At 45.3% G+C, this 17,754-nt stretch overlaps 2 protein-coding genes across 67 annotated transcripts in view, besides 3 other annotated features; one reads left to right on the top strand and one right to left on the bottom strand.

Moving 5' to 3' along the window:
• The window catches only part of CSGALNACT1 (chondroitin sulfate N-acetylgalactosaminyltransferase 1), a 353,748-nt gene extending 345,644 nt beyond the window's left edge, over nucleotides 1-8,104 (top strand). For 58 of the 61 annotated variants that reach the window (NR_148898.2, NR_148897.2, NR_148899.2 and 55 more), the window contains 2 exons: nucleotides 3,571-3,652; nucleotides 6,196-8,104. Coding sequence is in view for 53 of the 61 variants with exons in the window: in NM_001354476.2 (NP_001341405.1) it covers nucleotides 3,571-3,652; nucleotides 6,196-6,485 (372 nt within the window). In the remaining 8 variants the exon portion in view is untranslated. Of the gene's footprint in view, nucleotides 1-2,840; nucleotides 3,028-3,570; nucleotides 3,658-6,195 lie in introns of those variants that run through there. The other 3 variants (NR_148900.2, NR_148902.2, XR_007060745.1) reach the window with 2 other exon arrangements.
• Nucleotides 3,717-3,776: an enhancer, noted in NCBI's record as "active region_27057". NCBI's record gives its function as "activates an Ori minimal core promoter by ATAC-STARR-seq in GM12878 lymphoblastoid cells {active_cell/tissue: GM12878}" and the evidence as "EXISTENCE:reporter gene assay evidence [ECO:0000049][PMID:35858748]".
• Nucleotides 5,803-6,303: an enhancer, noted in NCBI's record as "H3K4me1 hESC enhancer chr8:19263473-19263973 (GRCh37/hg19 assembly coordinates)". NCBI's record gives its function as "activates a minimal SCP1, AML or CMV promoter by ChIP-STARR-seq in naive H9 embryonic stem cells {active_cell/tissue: H9 hESC(naive)}" and the evidence as "EXISTENCE:reporter gene assay evidence [ECO:0000049][PMID:30033119]".
• Nucleotides 6,304-6,804: an enhancer, noted in NCBI's record as "H3K4me1 hESC enhancer chr8:19262972-19263472 (GRCh37/hg19 assembly coordinates)". NCBI's record gives its function as "activates a minimal SCP1, AML or CMV promoter by ChIP-STARR-seq in naive H9 embryonic stem cells {active_cell/tissue: H9 hESC(naive)}" and the evidence as "EXISTENCE:reporter gene assay evidence [ECO:0000049][PMID:30033119]".
• A 7,942-nt stretch (nucleotides 8,105-16,046) lies between the features above and the next one.
• Nucleotides 16,047-17,754, bottom strand: part of SH2D4A (SH2 domain containing 4A) — an 82,526-nt gene continuing 80,818 nt past the window's right edge. For all 6 annotated transcript variants that reach the window (NR_156444.2, NM_022071.4, NM_001363110.2 and 3 more), the window contains one exon: nucleotides 16,047-17,715. Coding sequence is in view for 5 of the 6 variants with exons in the window: in NM_022071.4 (NP_071354.2) it covers nucleotides 17,623-17,715 (93 nt within the window). In the remaining variant the exon portion in view is untranslated. The remainder of the gene's footprint in view (nucleotides 17,716-17,754) is intronic.

Genomic DNA, 17,754 nt, shown 5'->3' with positions numbered 1-17,754 from the left:
AACTGTCCTTTTGTGGTACATTCATGCCCTGCAGTGCTCTGCTGGGATCTCAGGTGGGGAGGAAGTGGGTGCTGCAGAGAGAGTTGAGAGGAGGCCAGCTATCAGAGGACATTTTAGAAAATGAGGATAGCAGGCTGGGTGCGGTGGCCCATGCCTGTGATCCCAGCACTTTAGGAGGCTGAGGCAGGTGGATCACCTGAGGTCAGGAGTTCGAGACCAGCCTGGCCAACATGGCAAAACCCCTTCTTTACTAAAAATATAAAAAATGTAGCCGGGCATGGTGGTACGTGCCTGTAATCCCAGCTACTCGGGAGGCTGAGGCACGAGAATTGCTTGAACCCAGGAGGCGGAGGTTGCAGTGAGCCGAGGTCACACCACTGCACTCCAGCCTGGGCAACACAGCAAGACTCCGTCAAAAAAAAAAAAAAAAAGGAGGATAGTGCTTGGAAACAGATCAGTGAAATCCAGAACAGGAGGAATAGATGTTTTTCTTTTAAAGTCTCCTCTTTATCTTAGGGTTCCTTCCTCCTCTATTGTAGCAGACATCATTGGTGCATCACTTGTCAGTGCTTGAACAGAATGGTGGAGCTTCTCACACTTGCAGCAAAGTTTCTAAGAAGTCACACACTCCACCTTAGACCCCAGGGAGGTGAAAACATTTTTGTCTCTTGGTCCAGAGCCACAGGATTCTGAGAGGTTCTCACCACTGCATTTCCCAGGCCTTTGCTGGGCCACTTGCTGGCGAACATCTTGCAACGTGTCTGTTTCCACTGGCTTGGAACCATCTCTGCCCTAGGGACGGCTCTTGGTTCATTCATTGAGGAAGTATTTACTGAGTACCTGCTGTGTGCTGGACAATGTTCTGGGTGCTGGAGATGTAGTCGTGAACAAGAACAAGCCCTGAGCTTACATTCACCAGGGCTAGTGACTGAAGACAGTCAGCAAACAGAGAAGCAGATGCATCAACGGGATCATTTCAGAAGCCAGAATTGTTACAGAGAAAATAAACCAGGGGTCCAGTGCAGCAAGTGGCATTAGGGTGGCAGGTGCATAACATGGGCCAGGAGGGTCAGGACGACCACTCTGAATAGTGACATTGGAGCACAGCTTAGTGGTGTGTGGGGAAAGGGTGACCCAGGCAGGAAGGACTGCAAGTATCTGGCCTTGGAGACCTGTGAGCATGGAGAATCCAAGAGGGAGAAAATGGGCCTTATATAGGGCAGAAGGATAAGAAGAAATGAGATGGCTGACGATTAGGGAACCCTTGCAGGGCTTCACATGGGAACGTGATATAATCGGATGTGTGCTTGAGGGCACACACTCCCGCCAGACTGCTATTGAGCGCGTCCTTCCAGTTAGCGACCCAGCACAGCTGTGGGTGGTGGAACCTCGACTGAGGGAACTCCGTCTTGCCCTGAAATTACATGCTGTGGGCATGACCAGATGAGTTTCCACAAAGGGCTAAATTTCAACAAGCTCTTCAGATAGTGGCTTTTTGTGGCTTGCCAACTTCCAAACTGACTTTAATAAATGTTTACACAACTCACTCCCCAGCTCATAAGCCAGACTGCCTCCATCACGCTGTTCCCATGTGAGGGTCCCCCTTCACCTTGTTCAACCTCGAAAGGCCCTACATCAGTGCAGCCCAGAGTCTCTGGATGCCTCCCTCTTGTCTTCCTTCCCAAGGCTTGGCCAATTGTTTTTCCTGTTCGGAGCGTTCCTTTTTAAATTCCATGTGATCCTCAGCGAAATATTTGAAGATTGGATACTGGCACTTCTCTTTGACTCCATTTTTACCCATAAGCTTAGGGAACTTGTCTAGGTTGCCAGCAGAAGGAATATTAGTCTATTCGCTGCAATGGAAACCATGTACCTGGTAAGGCGGGGATGGAACAAAGTCCATATTTTAAAAAATGACTCCGTGGAGACTTTTCCAGACTTTGCCGCCTTACAAAATCTTTCCAGTTGATACTAATGAAATTGACTTGTCATTTGGGAGATACTGTATAACGGTCCCGTACTCTGAAGTAGAACTTGAGAATACTTGCTGGGGACAACTTTAAGCAACAGAAACTCTCTTGGTTCTACTTTCCTTGAGCAGTCCTGATGCTTGCAGGAGAGGGTGGCAGCAGGTCCCCATTCCCTGTGGAATGTAAGTGACATGGTGGAAGTGACATCTACCTGTAGATTGTAGTGAAAGTAAGACAGTTTCATATGTTACAGAGTTAAAGAACATTTAAGATTCATCAGCCCTTCTGCAAGCCATTTATCAAATATAATTAGCCTGTGGTGAAACTTCAGGAAGGGGGAAGATGTGATAAACACTTGGATGTGAAAGCTGAAAGACACCTAAGGGATGAGTGAATTTAACCCCCTTGTTTTATAAGGAAAAAAAAATAGATGCATGAAGAAGTGAAGGAGGCTGCCTGAAGTGAAAAAGCCAGCCAGTGGTCACATTGGGCCAAGACTCTGATGCTTCTCCCCTCTCATGTACCGTTTCTAATTAACGATGAACAGAACCAGATGTCCCCAACAAAATCTATACAAATCCAAGTGGGGAAAGAGGAACCTGCTGCTGCCCTCTCTACCTTTCCCCAGAGGACAGGATGTGGGGGTGTCCTTTCACCTAAGCACCTATGTTAACTGCAAGAATGAATTATGAAAAATAACTAAGATCTCAAAACTGTTCCCAGAGTTCTCTCAGCTGAATACGTGTTTGTGTATATGTGTTTGTGTGTGTGTTTCTCTCTCTCTCTCTCTCTCTATATATATATATATGTACACATGCAGTTTTGAAAAGCCTTGCTGTTTCAGCAAATATATTGGAAATTTACTTGCAGAGTAAGAGACTGGGCAGTGTCTGGATGGCCTCTCCGCAGCCCTGCAGGCTGGCACCACGGTAGATGCTTTTGGGAGCAGTTTGGTTTTAAAATAGCGTGAAGATGAATGGACAGAGTCTTTCTTCAGAAGCTGGACTTCTAGTGCCCTTTTCCTCAGCAAGCGAGAGTTAACAGAGTTGGAGAGCTGGTAACATACTGAAGTCTCTCAGATATTTCTTTTTATTCCCCAAGGGAGTCCTGTGAGTGGACCGTGCCAGGGCAGCTGAATTCTGAGTTGTTCTCTATCCCTTTTCTCAACTTCCTGAGCCCTTTGCTGGCTCGCTGCCCAGGCTTGTGTAAGGGGCCCAAGCCTCCGATTCTCGCTGGCACTGGTGTGGGGCCAGGCACGTAGGTGGCTTTTCCACGGCACTGCTCAAAGACTGGCTCTCCCGGTTTTTGTTTTTGATTGTGTGTGTGTGTGTGTGTGTGTGTGTGTTTTCATATCTATGCCCTAGAAACATTCCAGCCAGAGGTGCCAAAAATCACAAGACCTTGTTTTGGGACTGGTGTGTGTACTGTATTCCTGACTGTCTGCAAGGACTCAAATCCATCTGCGTTTCCTGCACCAGTGGAGGCTGTTTATCAGTGATGGGATGGGCTCCACACTCCACGGTGGCTCACAGGAGTTTGTGAACACTCTATTTTTGTCCACCCTAAACTTTCCCCTCAAATGACAGTGCTTTTCTTGCAGGTCATAAAGAAGGAAACTGGATTTTGGAGAGACTTTGGATTTGGGATGACGTGTCAGTATCGGTCAGACTTCATCAATATAGGTAGGACAAATCTGCATCTCTACTGCCACCCAGAGGCCACGGGCCCATGTAGGCCTTGAAGGAATCAAGTAGGGTTTCCAAGGAGTCTGGTTGGGAAGGTGGTACCATTGCCTTCAAAAAAAAAAAAAAAAAAAAAAAAAAAAAGCTATTCCAGACTAGGTGCGGTGGCTCACACCTGTAATCCCAGTGCTTTGGGAGGTTAGAGGAGGGGGGATCACTTGAGGCCAGGAGTTCAAGACCAACTTGGACAACATAGCGATTCTCCTAAAGAGAATCACTCCAAAAAGAAAATCAAATGCTGTTCCTGATGTCATAGACTCAGGGCTGGACCAAGAGGGGGCCTGGTAGTAGGTGGCATTTTAGCCCCTATGATCTCCACCAGCACCTCTCAGTCATTCCAAATAAGACACACAATCTGAGATTAAAGGCTGCTTATTGCATCCAGGCAGCTTTGCAGCAAGTCTTCCAGTGCCTCCTCCCAGCGGGGTCCTGGCTGCTCTGCCCTCTCCTGTAGAACATCCTAAGCCTCCCAGTAAGGGTATGAGGGAAATAGGGGAACTGGGAGGAAGCACATATTCAAAAAGACCCACATTTCTCTCTGCTAACCTTCAAAATTCCAAATGTCACTTTAAGCTCTGACTAAATGTGCAGTTGCTGCCAATACACACACACACACACACACACACACACACACACACACACACACAATTCATATACACAAATGTCCACATGCACACACAATTCATATACACAAATGCCCACATGCGCACACAATTCATATACACAAATGTCCACATGCGCACACAATTCATATACACAAATGTCCACATGTGCACACAATTCATATACACAAATGTCCACATGCACACACAATTCATACACAAATATGCACATGCGCACGCCTGTGGTTTTCTAGAGCACAGAGAGAAAAGGCCCTTGGGATCTAGGTGAGGAGACCAAGCATGTCAAAGGGAAAGAGATCCTCCCAGGCCTCACAGCAGGTAAGAGGCAGAGTCAGGATGAGAATAGAGGCCTCCTGTCCCCCTTGGAAATGCCACCCCACCTTCCCATAGCAATACTGACTCTTGGATCTCGAAAGAGATAGAGTTGCAGATTATGCACGACCTGGGTATGAATGAACAGTCCCGAAACGTTGATCTCAGGTGCAGGGGCTCAGCTGCGATGGAGTCAGGGGGACCGTGCCCTCAGGGTGTGGCATGGAGCGTCCCATCCCCAGGCTCCCCACGAGCTGCTGGTCTCGCTGGCTTCTAGGCACCTCCCCCTCAGGTCCAAGACCTAAAGCTACTCACTTTAAAATCAGGGACGAGGGGTAGACCCACGATTGTTTTGTTCAGAGATGACATGAACTACAAGGACTACAGAACCCCCCAAGGAAATCACCAGGTTAAAGATTTAAAAAAAAAATGTTGAAGTCAAGTCCTGTTGGAAGGAGCAGAGCACCCAGGATGCAGGTCTCTGAGTGGTGGGTGCCCTGCAGACACTCAACAACTAACAGCAGGTGTTCTTGGACATCTCTGAGAGAAATATTCCTAAATGGTTATGTGCAAATCAGCTTCCCAAAAAGGACATTTAAAAATTTTCTAGGCCGAGCGTGGTGGCTCATGCCTGTATTCCCAGCACTCTGGGAGGCCAAGGTGGGCAGATCACTTGAGGCCAGGAGTTCAAGACCAGTCTGGCCAAAACGGTGAAACCCCGTCTCTACTAAAAACACAAAAGTTACCCAGGCATGGTGACATGTGCCTGTTGTCCTAGCTACTTGGGAGGCTGAGGCAGGAGAATCACTTGAACCCAGTAGGTGGAGATTGCAGTGAGCCGAGAGGCACTGCAAGCCCCTCGTTTCTTCTCTGTTTGCAGTGGCAGGAGAAGGCCACCTCCTCACAGAAGCACAAGAATCTGCATTCAGAGGTTTCAAGCTGAAAAGTGGGGATGGTGTAGAAGCTCTTTTTTTTTTTTTTTTTTTTTTTTTTTACGAAACCTCTATTTTTAATTATTATGCGCATGTTTATGGGGTACATGTGATGTTTTGATACAGGCATACAATGTGTAATCATCACATCAGGGTCATGGGAGGTATCCATCATTTCAATTATTTATCATATTTATCAGTCTTCTAGCTATTTTTAAATATACAATAAATTGTTAACAATAGCTAATTCATAATCACAATAAGTCTGTCAGTAATAATGCTACCGAATACTAGATCTTATTTTTGTACCCATTAACCACGAGGCTGGGGCTGTTCATTAGCATTGCTGATAACTCTTGAATGCAGGCAAATGCTTGGAATTTTCTTGGAGGTCCTGTCATCTGAAGAAGTCGGTGCTGTCTGCCATAAAAGTCGTCTTTGTTGGGGAATTCTCGGGGCTTCTGACCCAGGTGGACACTCTCGTACCTTGGAGGGGTGGTGGTGAAGCACGCATCCCCCCCAGTCATGTCTTAATGAAAAGTTTGTGCTTGTTGCAACTCAGGGAAGCAAAACAGATCAGTGCAGTGTGATTCAACAGTGTGTTCTGTCCCGACAGGTGGGTTTGATCTGGACATCAAAGGCTGGGGCGGAGAGGATGTGCACCTTTATCGCAAGTATCTCCACAGCAACCTCATAGTGGTACGGACGCCTGTGCGAGGACTCTTCCACCTCTGGCATGAGAAGCGCTGCATGGACGAGCTGACCCCCGAGCAGTACAAGATGTGCATGCAGTCCAAGGCCATGAACGAGGCATCCCACGGCCAGCTGGGCATGCTGGTGTTCAGGCACGAGATAGAGGCTCACCTTCGCAAACAGAAACAGAAGACAAGTAGCAAAAAAACATGAACTCCCAGAGAAGGATTGTGGGAGACACTTTTTCTTTCCTTTTGCAATTACTGAAAGTGGCTGCAACAGAGAAAAGACTTCCATAAAGGACGACAAAAGAATTGGACTGATGGGTCAGAGATGAGAAAGCCTCCGATTTCTCTCTGTTGGGCTTTTTACAACAGAAATCAAAATCTCCGCTTTGCCTGCAAAAGTAACCCAGTTGCACCCTGTGAAGTGTCTGACAAAGGCAGAATGCTTGTGAGATTATAAGCCTAATGGTGTGGAGGTTTTGATGGTGTTTACAACACACTGAGACCTGTTGTTTTGTGTGCTCATTGAAATATTCATGATTTAAGAGCAGTTTTGTAAAAAATTCATTAGCATGAAAGGCAAGCATATTTCTCCTCATATGAATGAGCCTATCAGCAGGGCTCTAGTTTCTAGGAATGCTAAAATATCAGAAGGCAGGAGAGGAGATAGGCTTATTATGATACTAGTGAGTACATTAAGTAAAATAAAATGGACCAGAAAAGAAAAGAAACCATAAATATCGTGTCATATTTTCCCCAAGATTAACCAAAAATAATCTGCTTATCTTTTTGGTTGTCCTTTTAACTGTCTCCGTTTTTTTCTTTTATTTAAAAATGCACTTTTTTTCCCTTGTGAGTTATAGTCTGCTTATTTAATTACCACTTTGCAAGCCTTACAAGAGAGCACAAGTTGGCCTACATTTTTATATTTTTTAAGAAGATACTTTGAGATGCATTATGAGAACTTTCAGTTCAAAGCATCAAATTGATGCCATATCCAAGGACATGCCAAATGCTGATTCTGTCAGGCACTGAATGTCAGGCATTGAGACATAGGGAAGGAATGGTTTGTACTAATACAGACGTACAGATACTTTCTCTGAAGAGTATTTTCGAAGAGGAGCAACTGAACACTGGAGGAAAAGAAAATGACACTTTCTGCTTTACAGAAAAGGAAACTCATTCAGACTGGTGATATCGTGATGTACCTAAAAGTCAGAAACCACATTTTCTCCTCAGAAGTAGGGACCGCTTTCTTACCTGTTTAAATAAACCAAAGTATACCGTGTGAACCAAACAATCTCTTTTCAAAACAGGGTGCTCCTCCTGGCTTCTGGCTTCCATAAGAAGAAATGGAGAAAAAAATATATATATATATATTGTGAAAGATCAATCCATCTGCCAGAATCTAGTGGGATGGAAGTTTTTGCTACATGTTATCCACCCCAGGCCAGGTGGAAGTAACTGAATTATTTTTTAAATTAAGCAGTTCTACTCGATCACCAAGATGCTTCTGAAAATTGCATTTTATTACCATTTCAAACTATTTTTTAAAAATAAATACAGTTAACATAGAGTGGTTTCTTCATTCATGTGAAAATTATTAGCCAGCACCAGATGCATGAGCTAATTATCTCTTTGAGTCCTTGCTTCTGTTTGCTCACAGTAAACTCATTGTTTAAAAGCTTCAAGAACATTCAAGCTGTTGGTGTGTTAAAAAATGCATTGTATTGATTTGTACTGGTAGTTTATGAAATTTAATTAAAACACAGGCCATGAATGGAAGGTGGTATTGCACAGCTAATAAAATATGATTTGTGGATATGACTGCTTTGTGGAGTAAGAATGTCATTTTGTTTAGTTTTTGGAAATAGTATATTGTGCATGGACCATGGTTTCTCAGCCTTGGCACTACTGACACGTTAGACTAGATAACTCTTTGCTGTGGAGGGCTGTCTTCTATACTGTGGGATGTTTAACCACATCCCGAGCCTATACCCACTAGAGGCCAGGAGCATCTCCCACCCAGTTTTGACAATCAGATTGTCTCCAGTCATGCTCAAATGTCCTCTGAGGGGAAATCACCCCTGGTTAAGAACCACGGGGCTAGAGGGAGAAGAGAACCATAATGAAAAACCTGAATTATTAATACATTAACTTGTCTGTTTTCATTAGAGGAAATTGAGAAATGATTTCCAAGGCCCCTTTCAACTCTGTGCTTAATATTGTCACGTGTGGCTGGGCACTGTGGTTAATGCCTGTAATCCCAGCACCTTGGGAGGTCAAAGTGGGAGGATCGCTTGAGCCTGGGAGTTTGAGACCAGCCTGGGCAACATAGTGAGACCCTGTCTCTACAAAAAAATACATAATTAGGTGTGGTGGTACACACCTGTAGTCCCATATACTCAGGAGGCTGAGGTGGGAGGATCACTTGAGTCCAGGAGGTCAAGGCTGCAGTGGTGAGCCCTGATTGCACCACTGCACTCCAGCCTGGGTAACAGAGTGAGACCTGGTCTCAAATATATATACTTTTTTCTGTGCTCTGATGATACTAGTAACTTCAGGGCATGTGTTTGGCCTGTCTCTGGCATGGTTCTGATGGATTTGTGGTGAGTGCCCTGCATGCTCTTGTCCATATCCTCCCAGCGTAAGAAGGATGGGTGTCTAATGAGGCTGGCAGTGGCAATCCAATATTCTGACTGTGGAACTGGACAGGTCTGAGAGTCTCACAGGTGGTCCCATCCGGGCTGCACTCTGTGGGCTCATCAGCCATTTTTGTGCTTGTTTACATTTCATATCACAGATGCCCAAGACAGTGGTGAAGAATTTTTTTCCTTTCCAACTTTTTAGGAGGTTCCTGTGCTGATTTGTCACATGGGTAAAATGCGTGTTGCGGGGGTCTGGTGTGCAGATTCTTCGGTCACCCAGGTAATAACTGCAGCACGTATTTTTCAGTCCTCACCCTCCTCCCACAGTCCACCCTCAAGTAGGCCCCGGTGTCTTTTGTTCCCTTCTTTGTGTTCATGGGTTCTTAGCATTTAGCTCCCACTTGTAAGTAAGAACATGCAGTGTTTGGTTTTCTGTTCTTGTGTTGATTCGTTTAGGAGAATAGTCTCCTGTTCCATCCATGTTGCTGCAAAAGACATTATTTTTTTCTTTTTTATGGCTGTGTAGTTAAGAATTAAGAATTGGGTTTTTTAAAGTTGTGGAGAGTAGCTGATGAGGAGATGGGACAGCATAATATTCAACTACGGTATTTCTTTTTCAAAGCTTATTCAGGTAAAACAGTTTCATTAAAGGGTAGAGGCCCTCTTTAGCAACATGCTAGTGGAGAATACCCCCCTTTGCCTGCCCAAGACATACAGAAAAGAAGGATTGTAGAAGGTCCCACGAAAACATTAGAATTAGGAGGCTGGAATTTAAACTTAGCAAAGGAAAGCAGTATCGGAACAGTGGTTTCAAGAACCCAGTCACGTCGCACATTCTCAAGGATGCTGCTGAGAAAACAGTGAGTCTTGGGCTTGCCTAAGGCCCCTTCCAACTCTGCATGCTCTCTCTGTTCCTATCCCTAAATTGTCCAGTGACCAGCACAGGTTATCTTACTGAGCTGGGCTTTCTAATACAGTGGAGGTCTCCTCCAGGCGGTGGTGTACTGGTACAGCCTCGTGGGAGCCAGTTTTCAGCACTTCTTTCCAGTCCTCACTCCGTGTTGACAGGGTGGTAGCTTGAAATCCATCACGGTGGAAGTATTTACACCATGGAAACTGGCAATTGGCAAATGCTGCCAATCAGCCATCCTTACCACCTCTGGGCCCCTAGGCCTGGCCCATTGTTAAATTATATCCACATATCATTGCCTCTAAGTGACATACCTGGGCTACCTGGGCTGTTTTCTCTGCAGTGATCTACTTCCTAGCCCCTCTTTGTATTTATAAATGTGGTTGACTGCCCCTTTCCACATCACTGATGAAGATCAGGCCTAGGAAAATAGCTACCCGGAATCTAATTTTAGTAATGTTTTTGTTTCAGGAAAAATCGTCTTATCTAATTTTACGTAATAGGGGTTCAGCGCAGTAGAGTAGTTGATATCATGGTTTTTCCAGCCAGACAACCTGGGTTCAGATTCCAGTTATTTTATTTGCAATTTACAGGATCTTAAAGGAGTTGCTAGATGTCTTCATACCTTGATGTCCTCATTCAGGGTGATGGATTCAATCCTTGTATATCATGCAGTTGTTTTAAAGATTAAATGGGTTCATATGTATGAAGCACTTAGGAAACATCAGGCACACGGTAGGTGTTGTTAGTATTCAGCACACAATTCCACATGTACAAATGTGTATCTGGCAGTGTCTGTTAAGCTTCTCGGTATGCCCAGTGCTGCTTGGATATAATCAGATGGCTATTATAGGCAATACAGTAAAGATGATGAAGCCGTCATGTACACTGTTGTTCTTTTTGTCATTCTCAAAACTTAATCTATCTGAAGGAGAAGGGTTACTAGGAGTGTGAAATTTAATGGGTAATTTCTACCTTACAATCCACGCTCAGTAATATGGAGTTGATACCCTCCTAGGGAGCTGGGAGACTTTACAGGTTTTTTAAGTCAGGAGCATAGCTAGGAACCTTATGTTCATTACTTCAAACTTCTAAGCTAGATAATATCATTACTTGGATTTTCCAGGTGCAGAGAATGAGGATCAGAAATGTTGAAGAGTTTGCCCAGAGATCCAGCTAGCAAATAGCCAGCTTCAGGGCTGATAGGACCGTCATTGTCCCTGACCATGACCCGTCACATGGCCAGCTCCAGATGGATTGGAAGGTCTGCGGGAACTAGCTTTGGCCTAGGGTAAGTCGCCAGCCTGTTGTTTTTGATTCTCGTTTCTCACCATTTCTCTGCTCTCTAGTCCCACCTGAGAAATCACGTAACAAGGAAAGAAAGCTTGCTAACACAGGGATGGAGGAACAGCTAAGGCATCTGGCCACCCCACTCCAGCCACTGTGCAATGACCGGCAGTGTTAGGACTCCATATGGGATCAAAGCCCTGGAATCTGGCTCTCATGCAGGATTCCAACATGTTACATTGAAAGAGTGATGGCCGGGCGCGGTGGCTCACGCCTGTAATCCCAACACTTTGGGAGGCCGAGGCGGGTGGATCATGAGGTCAGGAGTTCAAGACCAGCCTGGCCAAGATGGTGAAACCCCGTCTCTACTGAAAATAAAAAAGAGTTAGCCGGGCTTGGTGGTGGGTGCCTGTAATCCCAGCTACTTGGGAGGCTGAGGCAGAGAATTGTTTGAACCCGGGAGGCAAAGGTTGCTGTGAGCTGAGATCGCGCCACTGCACTCCAGCCTGGGTGACAGAGTGAGACTCCATCTCAAAAAAAAAAAAAAAAAGAAAAGAAAAAATGATTTGAGTAGGAGGGGACAGCAGGTGGGAATACTTGCTTTTTTTAAAAAAAGACTTGATAACTGTTTGTGAGAATTGCTGATAAGAGACAATGACCTTGGGCAGTTTCTTAGCAGGGCAGGGGTGTTTTACTCCCCACACACATCAAATGACTGGCAGCTTTGTGTGATCCATATTCTGATTAGCTTTATATTTTAATTCAAAGCTGTTTCTCCTGGCAGGGCTCCGTGCTTTGCTGTTGCTGCCAAAAACTATGGGGATGGTGCCAGTTGGTTGGGGGGTTTTGATGGTAGTTTTTTCCAACACACAGAATATGTTCTTTCCTGTCAGCAGAGGTGCCTTTCAAACTGTGCATTACTGATCCTTTGAACATGCCCTCTGGAGTAGTCACCCCGAGTGTCTCCTCGGCTGTGTCTGGCATATCTGCTATTCTAGCAAGAAGGTGGACAGAACCATAGGGGAGGAGGGGCAGGGCAGAGCCGCCTTGGGGAAGGTCACAGGCTGGGAAGGGCAGGCATTGCTGTGGGGAGAGAAGTAGGGCTGTGCTCCTTCAAGACCCTTCTGCAGCCTCCACAGTCGCCCCAGGGACTCAGTGAGGGCCAGCCATCCATGGCAGCCTCCGTCCGGGACTCACCCGGCACAGAGTGAGCCGACTCTCTGCAGGTCAACTGGCAAATGAATGTATTGTGTGGTTCGTCATTATATACCTTACTCTTCAGAAGTTTCCCCTTCCTTCTTAAAATTGATCCCAGAAATTCTAGGAAACAAGGGTGGGGGATAAACAGCCCAGTGGTCACATAAACTGAGTTGGCAAAGGGGAAGGCTGGAGTGCAAGGATCCTGGCTTTGTTGGACTCATAATTCACTAGGAAAAGGAAAATGCAATTACCCAATTACTATTTATGGAGAGCTGGCTTTCTTTTCTCTCTTTTTTTTTTCTTTCTAAAGACAGGGTCTCACTCTGTCGCCCAGGCTGGAGTGCATTGGTACAATCATAGCTCACTGTAGCCTCGAACTCTTGGGCTCACGTGATCCTGTGGCTTCAGCTTCCTGAGTAGCTGGGACTACAGGCACATGCCAACCACACCTGGCTAATTTTTGTATGTTTTGTAGAGATGTGGGTTCTCACTATGTGGGCCAGGCGGGTCTCAAAATCCTGGGCTCAAATGGTCTTCCTGTGTCAGCTTCCCAAGGAGCAGGGATTTCAGGTATAAGCCACCATGCTGGGCCCATGGAGCGCTTACTCTATGCCAGATATTTAACATATTTCTTTCCTAATCGTCAGAACCCAGGTGACTTTAGTAACGACTGTCTGAGAAATGAAATTGAAGCTCAGACAGGCTTAGTTACTGTTTTTCTTTAACGACTCCACACAGCTAGTTATGGTATACCCAGGACCGCACCCCAAACCTGCTGGGCCTGCTCTCTACTATACTGAGCAGCCTGATTATCAAATAATGTGTTTTTACCACAATTAAAACAGGGTACTTTTATCATTTAAGCTTCCTGACAATTGTCAGTCTGGGGAAGCAGTGGGAAGCCTAAAGATCTTTGCATAGGGAGAGAAGGTAGGATGGGAAGTAGCTAGACATGTAAAAGTGGTACTAAAATCCACCTGGAGGCAGTGAAGTGCAGAATTAACATTGCTGAAAATTTAATCACTGATGGGAAAAGGACAGATGCAAGAGCTCTCCCAAAATACAACAGAAAAGAAGGGAGAGATGAAAACAATGGGGGTGAGAATACCAAATGAAAAGCAAAGAAAAATCCAACATTTATAGCTATTCCCAAGGAAGAGAAAAGCTAAATTCAAACAGATTATTTAAAGATACAGTCGTTGAAAACGTATGTTCTAAAACAAAACAAAACAAACCCTGTGAATTGCAGCCTGAAAGGAAAGCATGTACCACGTTCTGGATAAATATGAAAGCAAAGAGGCCCCATGGAAACATATCCATGCATAGCCCATGCATTTGTGTCTTCTCTCACCAAATAGCAGGAGCCCCAAAATATGTATGTGTGGGCCATAAACATGTTAGAACTCCAGTGCATTAAGAAAACTGCCTTTACAAAAGGTGGCAGTTGCAAAACTTTAAGCCATGAATTTTTCTTTTTTTAATCTAAAAGCAGATTTCATGTCATATTAGCAAAGGATGCTTAATTCCAAAGCATTAGCTCAGATAGGCAATTTTGGGTGGAAATGTCCCGGAGGTATTTTTGGTGACCTGACTGACCATTGCCCATCTACTTTTTTCTTTCTCTGATCCTTTTTTTCCTAACTTGCCCTGTGTTTTCTCCATTTTTAGGGTAAGCTTTGGGCCAGAAAGCACCTTTTTTTTTTTTAGACGGACTTTTGCTCTGTCACCAGGCTGGAGTGCAGTGGTCTCGGCTCACTGCAACCTCCGGCTCACTGCAACCTCCGACTCACTGCAACCTCTGACTCCCAAGCTATCTCCTGCCTCAGCCTCCTGAGTAGCTGGAATTACAAGGCATGTGCCACCAAGCCCAGCTAATTTTTGTATTTTTTTTTTTTTTTTTTTTTTAGTAGAGACGGGGTTTCACCATGTTGGCCAGGATGGTCCCGATCTCCTGACCTCGTGATCCACTTGCCTTGGCCTCCCAAAATGCTGGGATTACAGGCATGAGCCACCGTGCCCAGCCAGAAAACACTTTTTCAGACTGACTAGCACTGCTGGTGACACTCAGGGCCAAGCGACCTTCCTTGTGCATCCTACTGCAGCAGGGTAGGGCAGGAGGCCAGAAGCAGGGTCCTTGCAAGTGACCTGATAGGTCTGTGAGCATCTGGCAATACGGTGGCAGCCAGAAAATCTTACATGACTGTGGGCGGGAGATTCCAGAATTGTGGGAGAGAAGAATCTAGATGGGCAGGAGTATTTGGCCACAGTCCCAGTGAGTCAGGGTCTGCAGACCAGAGCCCCTAGGCTTGAGAACCAGGACAGTAACATGAAAGCAGCATTCCTAGACCCAGAAACCTTGCGCAGGCAGGTCAAGGAGCTGGGCTTGCAGAGGCAACAGGAGGAGGAGACCAGGGTCAGAGTTTGGACATCTTCACCTCAGACCGTAACTCAGGGTAAATGTAGGCAGGACAGAGACCACAGCACTGCTCGGATGACCATTCAGGCCTCCTGAATTCCATTCGGTTGAATTCAGTTTCTGAAATCTGTAAACCATTCTCCTTCCCTAAGAATTTCAAGTGTCATTCGTGCCATCATATCATCCAACACTGGACAGTGTATTCCTCTATCAATCAGCAACCAACAGGATAAACTAGTCCGGAACCCACATCTGCTCCCCTGTGTAATATTGGGTGAATTCAGTTGGGTGACTTCCTGTTTTCTAAATCTTCCTTTAATAGGATGTTGCTTTGTGTAGTTATATCTGGATATGGCCACAATTATTTCCTACAAGATAACTGTAGGCACAGGGGGGTATTGGATTTTTTTTTCCCCCAGCACGTAGTCTTGCTTTGTAGCCAGACTGGAGTACAGTGGTGTGATCTCGGCTCACTGCAACTTTCGCCTCCCAGGTTCAAGCAATTCTCCTGCTTCAGCCTCCAGAGTAGCTGAGATTACAGGTGCATGCCACCGTCCCCGGCTAATTTTTGTATTTTGAGTAGAGACGGGGTTTCACCATGTTGGCCAGGCTGGTCTTGAACTCCTGAACTCATGATCCACCCACTTTGGCCTCCCAAATTGATGGGATTGCAGGCATGAGCAACTGCACCTGGCCAGTACTGGAATCTTACATCTTCCTAATTATTAGTGGTGACAAGTGGGTACTTTCCATTCATTCCAGTGAGAAGCACTAGAACCTTAAAATTTCAGAATTGGATGAAAATAACAAAGATCACCCAGTTGAATCATATTTTTTTTTGTTCAGAAGCAAAAACTGAGGCTCAGAGACAAACTGTCCTGTCCAAGATTATACAGAAAATGGTAGGAAGAGTTGAGAAGTTTCTCAATAATGCCATGACTGTTGAATCATAGGAACAAAAGCCAAGAGATGGATCCTTACAATAGTTTAACAATATAAACCACATGGAACATTTCAAGAAAGAGTTAAACAATGATCTATGTTTAAAAGCTATCTCTACCTGGCATAGTATCTCACATCTATAATCCTAGCACTTTGGGGGTTTGAGGCAGGAGGATCGCTTGAGGCTGAAGTGAGCTGTGATCGCACTACTGCATGCCAGCCAGGGTGTCAGAACAAGACTCTGTCTCTAAAAATAATAATCACCATCATCTTTCTCATTAGAACACACATGCCAACCATCCCCTTCTCTGGCTACATTTTATAGTCAATGAGTGCTGTACGCAACCAACAAGCTTGTAACAACACTGCTGTATCATTCTGCTTTTATTAGAAGGCAATGTAAAAGAGTATTGACCTACACAGTTAGGCCAGAGGTACTAGCCAATCTCCATCCTCCAAGAAAAATGATCTCCAGTGGCTCAGAGCCACCTCAGTCCCTGTCCAGAGGCCGTTCGCCTGACTGGGACTGGACTGAGGTGGGCGGGGGTTCCAGGAGGGCATAAGATTCCTGACGGGACAAATATGTGTGCCAGGGCTAAACAGAACTGGCTGGAATGTTTTTCTTACCTCCCATTTCTACTTCATTATGAAAATGGTGGACTGGGCAGCAGTGAATGGGTCGATCTTGTGTGTCAGGTTATGTAATTACATAAACGACTGTATTAGCTTTCTGGGGCTATAGTAACAAGTCAGCATGAACTCAGCATGAACTAAGCAGCTTAAAACAACAGACATTTATTCTTCCAGTTCTGGAGTCTGGAATTCTGAAGTCAGGGCCATGCTTCCTTCTAAGGCTTGTGGGGAACCTGTCCCATGCCTCTCTGCTGGCTTCTGCTGGTGGCCGGAGATCCTTGGTGTCCCTTCCCTTCCGGCTGCATCACTCCAACTTGCCTCTTGTCCCCTGGTCTTCTTCCCACTGCATTTGTGTCTATTACCAAAACTCTCTCTTCTCCTAAGGATGCCAGTCATTGGATTTGGGGCCCACCCTAATCCAATGTGACCTCATCTTGACTATATCTGCAAAGACCCTATTTCCAAACAAGGTCCCATTCACGGGGATGGGGGTTAAGACTTCACCATATATTTTGGGGGAACACAATTCAACCACAAGTAGCATCCAAACAGCCTGCTTATTCTGTTCTTGTCTAAGCACTTCTGATAAAAAATAAAAAAATACATGTACAGATGCTTTATCCTTTTGGTGCACTATAGAGTATATCCAGGGGAGGCCAGGCCAGCCCCGGCCCCATTCTCCCGAACAAGAAAACAAACTCAGCGATGTTTGCTCACTTTCCTGCAGGTCCATCTGTATTTTCATGCATGTTAAGCCTCTCATTCAATTTACATTCATGACTTCTGTTTTTCTATGTCTCTCATGTCCTGGTTCCAACATGTACAATAAGTGAGGTGTGTTTTAAGCATCATCTCAGCCAGGAAAGGCTTTTGCTACCATTCCAAAGCCAACATGAAACTTCGAAACTTCATGTCAACAGGCCCCTGAAACCTCCTGAGATGATACAGAGGGAGTGCAGGGGTCATATGATAGATATTCGTTTTCAAGTACACCTTAATTTCTAAAAGTTTTCCATTTCTTCATTTGTTTTATTTTATGTACATCATTAAGGTCATACCCTTCATGACAGGTACTTGCTGAAATTGAGACTCTTCTCCCTTTTGAGCAGAGGTCATTTTCTCTTGACATTGAATTCCAGTATTTGTGCAGAAAAGAGGTGTCAATGAGGACTCCATGGATACTTTACTTTCAGTTGATCAGTATTGGCTCTGCTGCAGGGTGATTTTGGCTTCACACATAAATGTTGCAGTGGCATTTGTCCAGGGGAAAGCCCGCTTGGAGGCTGTAGGATGACCCTGATGGAGGCTGTCACTCAAACAGCTCCAGGTAGTCAGGCAGCTGGTCCTGCTGACCACAGGGATAGAGAAGGAGCTCCTTCCCCAGGGAAGTGATGGGTTCCTCCTGTCAATCAGAAGGCACGGGGTCAGATAGTGTAAGTAG

Source organism: Homo sapiens, chromosome 8 (assembly GCF_000001405.40).
Source record: "Homo sapiens chromosome 8, GRCh38.p14 Primary Assembly".
Classification (NCBI taxonomy): domain Eukaryota; kingdom Metazoa; phylum Chordata; class Mammalia; order Primates; family Hominidae; genus Homo; species Homo sapiens.
The sequence above is the reverse complement of the archived record's forward strand: the minus strand, read 5'-3'. Positions and strand labels throughout refer to the sequence as shown.